Below are 13291 nucleotides of genomic sequence, written 5' to 3'. Positions count from 1 at the left end.
GGTCTGCCCACCTTGGCTTCCTTTCCCAAAGTGCTGAGATTACAGGTGTGAGCCACTGCACCCAGCTTTGATTCCTTTTAGACCCATCTATCATTACTCAGGTTTGAGACTAATTATTTGAGACCTAGAGCAGATGTTCAGATGTCATTGGGACAGTTACAAAACTCAGATTTGCTACACTACTGAGGAGCAATTACAGCTAATTGTGTAGGCACTTTGGGAGCCTCAATTTAATTAAATCCAAACACATCTGATCTGGATAAAGGGCCAACCCTGCCTGATGTCAGACAGACTGCTGGATGTTCTGTGAAGAGATGCCACCTCTCCCATGCAAGGGAAGGGCAAAGACATGGTGCCCAGCTCCAGGATCAGCCTTCTGGAAGGTCCTCCTGGGACCTCCCCTGATGTCAGTTACCAAACACCTTTAGTGCCTGGGGCCTCTCCCTGGCCTGTTATTACTAACAGCTACATTAATCTGTTTTTAAATGAGGCTCTATGTATTTAATTCTTATGGGATTAGCACTAGGTAACTATATAATCTTGCTGCCGCTTTTTAAAGTAAGATGAAATCTGAAACACTAGCTGGGCCTTAGACAGATGAGTATTGCACGGCCATTTTGGAAAGGCAACTTGCTGGGAACAGAAAAGACCCCTCACCTTTTTCTCAAGCCCCTACACCTAAAGAAGGACAAGGCAAAGGCTGCCTGAAAGCTATTATTTCAACAGCCACTTCCCCAAATGACACTAGCATGACTAAATAGGCTAAAATACAGGGACTCGAGACTTGGTGTTCCTTGTGGATGGAGACTCTGAGTCATCTCTGTATGTTCCATGCCAGGCCCATGCATGGCATCTGTGGATATGCCACAAAATGTCAGGTGGATAAGAAGGAAGTTTGAATCGTCTGGAATAAAGGCACACAGTACTCGCCAGCATGAGTAAGCAGGGGACATGAAAGAGGTACTTGAATATCTTTCCCACTAAGTTTAGCCTAAGAGAAAAATACAGTTAAGCTAACATGGCTCGCTGACAGGTGGGCGGTTAGGGGCCTAGCAGCCCCTGTCACTTCCATAGTAAAAGTATGTGAGTCATTTCTTAAAGTCAAGGGGAAACTATCTTAAAGCTGAGTCATCCAGGAATACAATAGCTGTAGAAATAAAGTTAAGGCCCCTTTGTGCTATCAAATTAGTTGGCCTTGCCCTTATCTCTGAAATAAGGATTTTAAAAAATGAGTGTTTTCAGCCTTGTTTCCCCAGGTATAGGATGCCTAAAACTGCCCTCTTATGGCTAAAGGTTTAAGTATTCAGATATCATCCTGAAAGTGCAGAACTCACCACTCTTGGCCACTGTTCTGCTTTGGATATGACTCCCTGACACACTTCCTGAAGCTCCTGGCCCCTGGCTCTCAGCAGACGATCTTGCCAGGTGTTTTACTACGATGTCTGAGTTCTGCAAACTCACTACCTTCACTTTCACATTCTCTCTCTCCCTTCACCCATCTCTTCCTCCTCCCTTCCCATTGTGCCCTTCTGCCATTATAAAACTCAACTGTTTAATGCAGAGGCAACACAATTCATAACTATGAATACAATTCAAAATTGAGTCTACACCAATGAAAATGGTAGATATGAGAAGCTTATCGAAACACCTATGTTTATGATCTAATAGAAGATTGTAAGATATTAAGCAGTAAAAACAAAATAGAAGTTCCTTAAAAATCACTGCCTGAAGCTCTTACAGTGAGATGTCTTGGATCATGGGTGATCTCTACAGCATGCTAAAGGTAGGTAACCCTACATCCTAGTCTCTCCAAGAGGGTCCTGGAATGTATTGTTCTGATGCAGTTATTAATAAAGTTATGAATTATTATAACGTTATTAATAAAGTCCCTTTTTACTCTCAAAAGTGTCTCAATTGGAATGTGTAATTAGATGGAGGGAGATGGGGTCTCCCTCCCTTCTAAGACTGAAGTCCCGTCCTCTAAGCAAGACCAAGTTTTCTGACCTTACCTTGAGGTTCCAAAAGATTGTTTGTATATATGTTTGTTTGTTTTAAGAGATAGGGTCTCACTCTGTAGCTCAGGCTGTGCAGTGGCATGATCACAGCTCAGTGTAGCCTTGAACTCCTGGGCACAGCGCTTCTAGAGTAGCCGGGACTACAGACATGAGCCACCATGCCCAGCTAATTTATTTTTATTTTTTGTAGAAATGAGGTCTCACTGTGATTAAAGGTGTGAGCCACTGTACCCAGCCCAAGAGATAATTTTTGTTTTGTTTTTGAGACAGGGTCTCACTCTGTCACCCAGGCTGGAGTGCAGTGGCATGATCACGGTTCACTGCAGCCTTAATCCAAAAGATAGTTTAAAAAACAAAAAAGTTCCTGTATTAAACCCAGTTGGACATTAAAGATTTCCTCCTCCCAGCAAGAGAATTCAATGCTGTGATTTCACGTACTTCCTCACAGCTTGATGTCTAATGCCCGAGAGTCAAGAGTTTAGAAATAAGGGAAGGGCCCACTTCTTCCCTGTTTAAACTCACAGGAAAAAAGCAATTTAAATATTCGAGGCCATTTTCAATGCCAAATGCCCCAGCTTGGTGTTTTGGTGGGAGATGGGTACTAAGTTCTTAGAAGGCTCATGATCCTAAGGGACTCGTTACCTTTGGGGAGCCAGAGCCAGGTTATTTTTATTCCTTTCACTTGACATAGAAGATATTGTTTTTAATCCTATTTTTTTCTCTCTTTAAATCAAGATCAAACTAATAAGATCCTTTGTTACTTGGCTCTTGATTTTCTGGTGATAAAACTTTCAAGATATGAAGGTATGATATGGAGGCCAGAATAAGCACAAGCTGGAAAATTCTGGTTTTCAGTTTATTCTTTGGCTAGTGGATTTGATCTACCTCTTCTTTGCTCTGAACATGAATACTGGACTGTTGGGATAAGGCACTCGGCCAAAGAGAGACAGAAGAAGCAGAATGCTGCCTGAATTCACTGGGCCCCTACAGAATCACTGACAAAAACACTCACATTCCAAACATTGTTTAGTTTAGAAGGTCAATTAAGTCAATAAAGAGTAAGCCAACATGTCTACTGCTGCAGTGCCTCGATTAAAGATTAGGCTCTTTATAATAAATACACTTCAAGAAAATCTTCATGACTTCTTCATCTTCCTTGATTTCCAAGTGTTATTGACCTCACCCACATGACAGGGTTGTTTACCTGGCCTGACCCAGTAGAGTACCCTATTAGTTAAAAAAATTTTTTTTTTTTAGAGACAAGGACTTGCTATGTTGCCCAGCTGGTCTTGAACTCCTACCCTCAAGCTATCCTCCTGCCTTAGTCTCCTGAGTAGCTGAGATTACAAGTGCATGCCACCTCGCTTGGCACAATAAGAAATTTAAGACAGTTTGGTAAACTTTACTCTTGTAGGTGTTCTTCACATTTATTTTTACTCAGGTTAGCTAATGTCTTTATCAAAAGAGACATATTTAGTATTTTCCAGTTTAAAGAATTTATGAACTATACAAAAGTTAAGTGTGAGGAATTTTTTTAAAAAAAAAAAACATTTTTTAGAAGGTTAAAATGTAGCATGTACTACAGTAAAAACTCTTTCCAGTACTGATTTTAAGGGCTGGCTCTGTATATAGAAGCCAGTGGCTTTGAGCTGGAGGCGTGTGGCCCAAACAGATTTGGCCAAGAGGCCAATACTGAAGGTTGTCCAGCTGGAAAGCAAGCATTGCATACTGCAGAATAATCACCACAGCCGACATCCCTGTACACAGAGCTGTAACTCAGACTGAGCTCAAAGAAGGAAGAATTTTATGCTCAACACGAGCAGGTTCTTAAACTCGTCCTTGCAGAAATTCCAAAGTTCACATGAGGTCAACTGTATGAACTGGATGCAGAGGTAAGGTCATTTAACAGTTCAAGTAAATGTTTACCTTTTCTCCTCTAAGGTGGCTCACAGAAAACACAAAGTTAGAGTGAAGGGCCAATGAAGATGATAATCGTTATTGTTTACTGGTATTTGCTGGACTCTATGCCATGCACTTTTATATTATTGCCATTTTTTTTTTTTTAAAGACAGGGTCAGTCTCTGTCGTCTAGGCTGGAGTGCAGTGGCGTAATCTTGGCTCACTGCACTCCTGGGCTCAAGCGATTCTCCTGCCTTTGCCTCCCAGGTAGCTGAGATTACAGGTGTGTATCATCACACCTGGCTTTTTTCATTTTTAGTAGAGATGAGGTTTCACCATGTTCTATCAGGCTGGTCTCAAACTCCTGGGCTCAAGTGATCTGCCAGCCTGGGCGTCCCAAAGTGCTGGGATTACAGGTGTGAGCCACCATGCTGGGACTTATTGCCAAATTTCTTAACAGTCTTTCTCAGCTTTCTCGACCAGGCAGTCAAACCTTCAGCTGTTGGACTATAAAGCACAGGTTCTCTCCCGCTGCAGGCCTTTCCTGACCATCTCTCTCTAAGTGATACACTAGATGGAGGAGATTAACACACAATAATATAAAAATTAGAAATGCAGATCTGGTCCCTGTCTGTGAAAAGGTTGCTGTTGGTAAATATTCCTTTTGGACAAACCTAGCCAATAAGCTTAGACCGACTGTGACTGTGCACCCTCCTTCCCCAACTAGATGGTGAGAGTTCCTCATAGACTGGGATCTTCCTGAAGGCAGGGACTCGAATCCACACCTGTATTCCCATCGCAGAGGCTGGCCCCATCATTGTCTGGAGGATGCTGGCTGAACAAAAGATCAAAGACCAAACCCACAGGTCCAATTCTGTGGCTCTGAGATGCTCTTGGATGCTCTTTTGCCTTAAGCCTAAAATGTATCTGACTGGGAACTATTTCCTCACTCCTTAGTCTCTTACATGGAGAGGCAATGGAGCCTGTTGTTCAGGAGCACGGATTCTAGGACTAGACTGCGAGACTGCCTGTGTTTGAAGCCTGGGCTGCCCACTCATTAACTCTGTGATTTAGAGCAAGTCAGTCATCCTTGTCGGGCCTCAGTTTCCTCACCTGTAAAAGGGGTGTGACTGATTTAATATATCCTACAAAGTATTCACAACAGTGCCTGGCACACAGCAAATGCTATGTAAGTGACAGCTATCAGAACAGTAATGACCACTACCACCAAAGTGGGGAAAATGTCTTTTTAAATACTCAAACATCACACCTGCTCCTCTGTATTCTAATGAACAGTATCCTAAATAGGAAATGAACACTACCACAGAGGTGGTATTAAGTTAGGGTTAAGAATCACATTGATTGAAGGCTGGTTCTGCCACTCACTAGTCACATGACTCAGGTCAAGGTACTTAACCTCCCTAAGCCTGTGAAGTGGGGATACTAATTAAAACCTACCTCTGAGGCAGTAAGGATCAAGTGAAGTAACGTGAAAGCACATGCCTGGCACTCATTAGAGTGAGATAAATGGTAACTGCTGTCATGAAGAATTTTCCTTAATGAATTTATCTTTCAAAGGCAGCACGAAGGGTTCTAAGTCACAAGAATGCTTAATTATCCATTTAGGAAATTCTGTGCAAGGCAGATCTGTTTTCAACAATTTCTAATCACATTAGCAAAGCTTATGTGGTTTGGAACAGAGTTGGGTTGATAAATGGGAAAAGATCCTTTATAATTTTCTCAGAGAAATCTGAGGCAGGTGCATAACAGCAAAAGAAGAATATAGAGTTTCATGTTAATGCCCTCTTTAGTTTTCTTCTGGTCAAGATCACAGTTGCAAAAAGCCCAAAGGGTATTCACAGTGACTTGAATGCCTGGCATCTGCTCAAAAGAGAGGCAATGTGCCTAAGGGAAGACTCACATATAGGGCACAATGGTTTGGGATGTACTAGTTTGTAAAGTATCATTTTACAGTCACAAACTGTCAGTTCCCATCTCAGTAGGCATTCAGTAAACACTGATGCAGTGAATGCTTTCTAGGGTCCAAGCAGGATTCTAGACACTGGGGAACTACAGCAGGGAGTGCGAAAACTGCCTGCTCTCATGGAGTGAACTTCTGGGATGGAGAGACAGATGATAGCCATATAAACAAATAATTTCACAGGTTATGAAAACAAATCCTTAATTTCAAATCTTAAGTGGCTTGAAGAAAGTAAGGAGGGGCATTAGATAATGACTGGGGTTGGGGGGGAGCTTTAGATGAGGGAGAGGAGTCAAGGAAGGGCTCTCTGAGAGGGTGACATCTTGGTTGAGACCTGAGTGACAAAGAGAAGCCAAGTGAAGACCACAGAAGGGCCTTCCAAACAGAACCTGGGCAGTCCTGGGATTAGCAGGCACTGGAGTTCAGTGCCTGGAATTTCCATACACTCAGGGTGGGAATAGGGGGCCTGATGGTGGACTGCAGTATGTCCTGGGGATCCAGAGAGCTCCTCCAATGTCACATCCAGTGACCCCACCTGGAAGAGGCTTACTTGGTTGGGGACCTATTAAAAATGCGTGGAAGGAGATCGAAAAGTGGCATAAGAGACCTATCAGCCAATTGCAATATATGGACCTGACTTGGATCTTAAATTGAACAAAAGAATTAAAATGGGAAAAAAAGCAGGAAGACAATGGGGAAATTGAATTGCTCTTGAGGAGTACTGTTTTAAGTGTTTCCGTTGTGATGATGCCATTGTGCTTCTGTTATGTTATGGGCTGAATAGTGTCTCTCCCAAGATTCATATGCTGAACTCGTAACCCCCGGTACCTCAGAATGTGACTATATTTGGAGATAAGGCTTTTAAAGATGTAATTAAGCCAAAATGTGGTTGTTAGGGTGGGCCCTAATTCAGGATGACTGGTGTCCTTTTAAGAAGAGATTAGGACACAGAGAGATACCAGAGACACAGGTGACTGTAGTGTGAATCCACAGCAAGAAAACAGTCATTTACAAGCCAGGAAGAGAGGTCTCAGAAGAAACCAACCCTGCTGACACCCTGATCTGGGACTTCTAGGCCCCAGAACGGTGAGAAAATAAATTGCTCTTGTATAAGCCACGCCCACTGTGGTATTTGGATATTGCAGTCCTAACAAATGAAGACAGTTTACAAAGAGCCTGTGTATCTTAGTGATGCACACTGGAAATAGTCACAGATGAAACTGGACAGGCTGTCTGGGGCTTGCTTCAAAATAATCTTTGAAGCTGGGTGCAGTGGCTCACGCCTGTAATCCCAGCACTTTGGGAGGCCGAGGTGGGCGGATCACCTAAGGTCAGGAGTTCGACACCAGTCTGGCCAACATGGTGAAACCCTGTCTCTACTAAATATACAAAAATTAGCTGGGTGTGGTGGCGGGTGCTTATAATCCCAGCTACTAGGGAGGCTGAGGCAGGAGAATCACTTGAACCTGGGAGGCAGAGGTTGCAGTGAGCTGAGATTGCACCATTGCACTCCAGCCTCGGCAACAGAGTGAGACAGTGTCTCAGAAAATAAATAAATTAATTAAATTAAAATAAAACAAAATAATCTTTGAGAGGGGATGCCAGAAGGGAGTAAAGGAAACAAGATGGGCCATGAGTTGAACAATTGTTGAGGTTGGGTAAAGGGTACACTGGGGTTTATTCTACTATTCTCCCTACTTCTGCATATTTTGAAATGTCTGTAATAAAAAGTAAAAAAGCAAAAATAAAACTAATGAGGGAACAAGGAGTAAAACCTGTATCTGTGGCTCTGAAAAACCTTGGCTATACCTTAGACTCCCGGAGAGCTAAGCCACTGGCACAGGTATCTTTTAAAAGCTCCCATGGGAAATTCTAGTGTTGACAACAAACTGACCTACACAAAGAGAACTAGGAGTTCTTTTAGGTAGAAATAAAGGAAGACTTGAAGGAAAAGGTCATGCTCCTGGATGAGAAAAGTAAGTATTATAAATTTTTCCACATTAATTTATAAATTAAAGTTCCCCTTCAGAAATTGTGATAAACTGTGCGAGAGTTCACCACCAATAACTACTTTCCATCTCTAGGAAGGATGCTTCTCCCCCACCCCACTGAAGTTAGGCTTGGTCGTGTACTGTACTTTGACCAATAAAGTGTGACCAGGAGTGACCTCTGTCATTTCTGAGGAGAAGCTTCAAGAGCCACACTCTTCCTACCCTCTGCAATGTTCCAGCAGGTAGCTGCTCCATGGGCCTGGTTCCTTGAGTGAGGACCATAATGATGGAGACACAGAGGCCCCTCAGCTAAGCCATAATGGATGGATAGTATGGACAGAAATCATTGCTTTAAACCACTGAGATCCAAGTTGTTTCCACAGCATAATCTAGTCCATCTTGACTAATAAGACAAAAACTCAACATGGAACTGGACACAATAATTCTTTGGTTCAAATGAAAAAAGAAAAAAAAAAAACAGGTAGGCAGACAAGAGCATACTCTGAAATAGCCATGAGTCAGGGTTGGTACCATCAGATATCAGGCCATATTGCAAGGCAACAATAATTAAAAATTGAGAACAGTACTGGGTGTAGAAACAAAAGTTGACAAAGATCTTTGTACTAAAGTATAGAAAGCCCACACATCAACAACTAACACACTTACATGAGGATATGATTAACTATGATAAAAGGTTTCCAGTTCTAGCATGTTAACTGTGGACCTGCCTCAATTAACCAGTCAAAAGTAACAAACACGGGCTTTGCTCTAACGTGTTAGGCCACCTTTGGTGAAGGATTGCTCCTTTTCCACCAGCCCAGGAAAACATTTATTAAAAACTTTATTTTAAACTAAAATTACATCAATAGCACCTAACGAAACACTAGCGCTTTCTCTCTCTAGGCTCTTTGAAGCTACGAAAGATGTTTTAATTTTTACATTTCAACAAAGCATCCAAATTCTGGATTTCTGACCTTTTTAAGGTCCTATTTGTTTGAGCTTATCCTCCAATGGTTAAAAGAAATTATTAACAAGTAAAACATGTACTGATACACACAAAAAAACAAATAGTATGGCTAGAAGAAGACACCCATTTTTTTTCTAGGTCACCTGTCTTTCTAGAACATTTCTAAAGTATAATAAACTACAGAAATTTACTTCTAAAATTCTGATGAAATAAAATGTAACAACACCATCCACAAATTGAAGGAGATAGTTAATTTTCAAAATTGGGGGCCTGAAGCTCTCCCCTGATGGATTCACCTCATCTCCAAGGGTTTTTCATGCTCACAGGCAGCTCCTCAGTCCAAACATACAGTGCTCTTAAGGCAGCTGTGAATGCTGCTCTTCTGCATGGGTTGCCCTTCCATAGCGCACTCCCCTGTCTACAAACTCCAACTGTTCATGAGTGCCTCTGTTTAGGAGCTCATCTTTGAGAACCCAGCTCAAATGCCTTTCCTGGGAGAATTCTTCCTCCCACAACTTGACTCCTCGCCCATAGATCGAGGCTGGTTTCTCCATGCTGCTGCAGCACATTCACCAGGCCCGCTGTGTTAGTCCACTCATCACACTGTATTGTAATTCCTTTTTTTTTGAGATGGAGTCTCGCTCTGTTGCCCAGGCTGAAGTGCAGTGGTGTGATCTCGGCTCACTGCAACCTCCGCCTCCTGGGTTCAAGTGATTCTCCTGCCTCAGGCTCCCAAGTAGCTGGGATTACAGGTGCCTGCCACCATGCCTGGCTAATTTTTGTGTTTGTAGTAGACACAGGGTTTCACCATGTTGGCCAGGCTGCTCTCAAACTCCTGACCTCAGGTAATCTGTCCACCTCAGCCTCCCAAAGTGCTGGGATTACAGGCATGAGCCACCGTGCCCGGCGTTGTATTGTAATTCTTTAACGACACTCACATCTCCCTGGCAGAACACATCTTATTTATCTGGGTCACAAACAGCACGGTTAATCTCTCACCAACATGAATATACCTTCAAGTATTTGAATAAGAATAAACCTGGCTGGCACGGTGGCTCACATCTGTAATCCCAGCACTTTGGGAGGGCGAAGTGGGTGGATCACTTGAGCTCAGGAGTTCGAGACCAGCCTGGACAACATAGTGAGACCTTGTCTCTACAAAAAATTAAAAAATGAGGTGGGAAGCTGGCTTGAGTCTGGGAGGTTGAGGCTTCAATGAGCCATGATTGCACTACTTCACTCCCTCCTGGGTGACAGAGTGAGACTCTGCCTCAAAAAAACAAAACAAAACAAAACAAAAAGAATGAACCTAACATACAATAAATGTTTACTATATGTAATCAACTGCCTACCAAGTCCTCAGTAACCCACATTTAATTGTAGCTCCACCTTACTGCAGCTGAAGAATCTGGAACTGAGTTTAAGAAACTGCTCGAGCCACACAGCATCAGTGGCAGTGCTGGGGCATCGGATCCAGAGCCTGTCTCCTGACCCAGGTACTCTCTGGGAGCAAGGCCTGCACTTAACCTATTCTTCTCTGCTCTTCAGCTGCTGGTCTCCCCTGACCTGGTGTGGTAACGCCTTCCAATCTGGTCTCTTTGGCCTACAGCCCCAACAGTACAGCACTCTGGAGCTGGGAGGCCTAGACTATACAGACCCAGTTACTCTGCTATCTCTGAGATGATTCCGGCAGCCAGATCCAGGCTCCTCTCTTAGCTCTTCTACTTACTGGCTCTGTGCCCTTGCCCAAATCACTTAACCTCTCTATGCCTCAGTTTTTTCATCAGAATTTTACGGTCCCATGGGTTGCTGTGGAGATAAAAGAGATTGTGCCTACATGTGACATCAGTACTGTGTCTGGTGCACATTAAGTGTTCCCACTGGCACACAGTAAGTGTTCACACTGTACTGTTAGTGCTCCCAAATCTCCATCCTGGCCCTGCAGCCAAGCCATGCCTCCCCATCTTCTACTTGTATAGACAATCTATATATCCAAGCACAGGACATTACCATTATTCCCCATTGTTTTCTTTGTGTTTGATTTGGCCTATTTCTGACTTTTGGGTCCAATTCTGTCTCCCACATACTCACTATTCACCCTGTGCCTGTGCTATCTGTAAATCTGGACATTCACCTATTTATTTATTTTTTTTAATTTTTTGAGATGGAGTCTCACTCTGTCACCAAGGCTGGAGTGCAGTGGCGCGATCTCAGCTCACTGCAAGCTCCACCTCCCAGGTTCACGCCATTCTCCTGCCTCAGCCTCCCGAGTAGCTGGGACTACAGGTGCCCGCCACCACGCCCGGCTACTTTTTCGTATTTTTAGTAGAGATGGGGTTTCACCATGTTAGCCAGGATGGTCTCCATCTCCTGACCTCGTGATCTGCCTGCCTTGGCCTCCCAAAGTGCTGGGATTACAGGCTTGAGCTACTGCGCTCGGCCAAATTCACCTATATTTTCAAGCTACTGACCAAACTGCTGAACAGAACGGAGTCTGTAAAATGGGTATCTTCAGCTGTGGGTGTGAATACAGAAGAGGAAATGAACTCAGGGCACCCAACACCCTGCTTGGCACAAAGCAGGTATACCTGTTCATGCTTCCATACCTGTGACCTTCCCTTACCTGCCCTTATAGGAGACAGTGCCCTTGCATGTTACCAGTGGCAACGTAATTGGAATGACCTTGCTGGAGGTCAATCTGACAAGATGTACAAATATGCATAAAAAAATGTTGACTCTGCAATTTTACTGGGCATTTACTCCAAGGTCATTCAAGAGAAAATAATTCTATGTACAAGACACAGTATTTACAGCATTGTTATTTAAAATGCTGAAAAACTTTAAATAATTCATATGTCCTACAAAGATAAATGGTTAAATAAACTATAACAGAGTAGTAACAGCAATGTGGCTCTTAAACAGATTAAACATCTTTATGTTGGTGAATATAGAGTTATTTAAATAAATCACCATAGATATACATGCTATGACTGCAATAAATAAAAACTATGTAGACATTGATAAAGACAGAAGGGTAGTTGGAAGAAATAGAAAATTATAGTTATGGTGAGATGATAGATATAATTTTTAGTTATTTCCCATTAAAACATATTACAATTTATTTGCTTATAACATCCCAAATATTTGTGCATATACAGATGCATATTTTATGTGTTTATTGTTTATGTATACATATATAATCTAAAGAGAGAGCTAATAAGAATCAAGAACAAGCAGTCCAGAAGCCAGAACCTTAGCTAAAACAGGATTTTTTTTTTTTTTCAGACAGAGTCTTGCTCTGTTGCCCAGGCTGGAGTGTAGTGGCATGACCTCTGCCTCCCGGGTTCAAGTGATCCTCGTGCCTCAGCCTCCTGAATAGCTGGGATTACAGGCGTGTGCCAGCTAATTTTTGTATTTTTAGTAGAGACAGGGTTTTGCCATGATTGCCAGGCTTGTCTTGAACTTCTGACCTCAAGTGATCCACCTGCCTCAGCCTCCTAAAGTGCACTATTTATGGTGAGGGGTTGGTTTTGAAAATGTCCAGTAAGTCATGAACAGATGCTTTTGAAAAAGACAATAAAAAGGCGGGGCGCGGTGGCTCATGCCTGTAATCCCAGCACTTCGGGAGGCCGAGGTGGGCAGATCACGAGGTCAGGAGATCGAGACCATCCTGGCTAACATGGTGAAACCCTGTCTCTACTAAAAATACAAAAAAATTAGCCAGGCGTGGTGGCGGGCACCTGTAGTCCCAGCTACTTGGGAGGCTGAGGCAGGAAAACAGAGTGAACTCAGGAGGCGGAGCCTGCAGTGAGCCAGGATCGTGCCACTGCACTCCAGCCTGGGTGACAGAGCAAGACTCTGTCTCAAAAAAAAAAAAAAAAAAAAAAAGACAATAAAAATTAATTACTAGAGAAGGGATTACAGGCATGAGCCACCACAACTGGCCCAGCTAACACAAAATTTTAATTCAAATCAAGAAGCATTCGTCGAAAGACGAGATCTAGTTCCTGTTCCCCAGGAACCTAAAATCCAGTGAGTTGCTACTGTGCCAGGCTCCCTTCCCACTGACATTCACATGCCTCATCACACCCTTGCCTGTCAGTCACAAGAGTCCTGAGGAACGAGCATCAGAACAGCACAGTCCTGAAGGTCATGAGCTCTGCTACCCGATCTACCTGGCTCCCAGCCCTGCTGTGACTCTTACTAGCTAGGGGACCTTGGGCAAGACTTTCCCCTGTAAGCTTCAGTTTCTGCCTCTGTGAGGGTGGTTATAGTGCCCATCTCAAAGGCTGGTGTGAGGCATGGCATCATCAATGCCCAGTACAAGTTGGCTGTTGATATAACCGTGTGACCTACCATCTCTTGCAGATGGGCATAGGTTTAAAACTTAAAAAAAGAAAAAACAAGGCAGAAGCAGAAGTAGTAGCACACTTGCAGA

At 43.1% G+C, this 13291-nt stretch overlaps 1 protein-coding gene across 15 annotated transcripts in view, besides 2 other annotated features; it reads right to left on the bottom strand.

Annotated features, from left to right (window-relative positions):
- ABHD2 (abhydrolase domain containing 2, acylglycerol lipase) overlaps window positions 1–13291 on the bottom strand; it is a 161358-nt gene that overhangs the window by 33499 nt on the left and 114568 nt on the right. The window lies entirely within an intron of this gene.
- Window positions 392–1591: an enhancer, noted in NCBI's record as "MED14-independent group 3 enhancer chr15:89710497-89711696 (GRCh37/hg19 assembly coordinates)". NCBI's record gives its function as "activates an origin of replication core promoter dependent on BRD2, BRD4, P300/CBP and CDK7 cofactors, and independent of MED14, by STARR-seq in HCT116 cells {active_cell/tissue: HCT116}" and the evidence as "EXISTENCE:reporter gene assay evidence [ECO:0000049][PMID:35650434]".
- Window positions 1113–1482: an enhancer, noted in NCBI's record as "active region_10043". NCBI's record gives its function as "activates an Ori minimal core promoter by ATAC-STARR-seq in GM12878 lymphoblastoid cells {active_cell/tissue: GM12878}" and the evidence as "EXISTENCE:reporter gene assay evidence [ECO:0000049][PMID:35858748]".

The sequence above is a fragment of the Homo sapiens genome, chromosome 15, assembly GCF_000001405.40.
Source record: "Homo sapiens chromosome 15, GRCh38.p14 Primary Assembly".
Classification (NCBI taxonomy): Eukaryota; Metazoa; Chordata; class Mammalia; order Primates; family Hominidae; genus Homo; species Homo sapiens.
The sequence above is the reverse complement of the archived record's forward strand: the minus strand, read 5'-3'. Positions and strand labels throughout refer to the sequence as shown.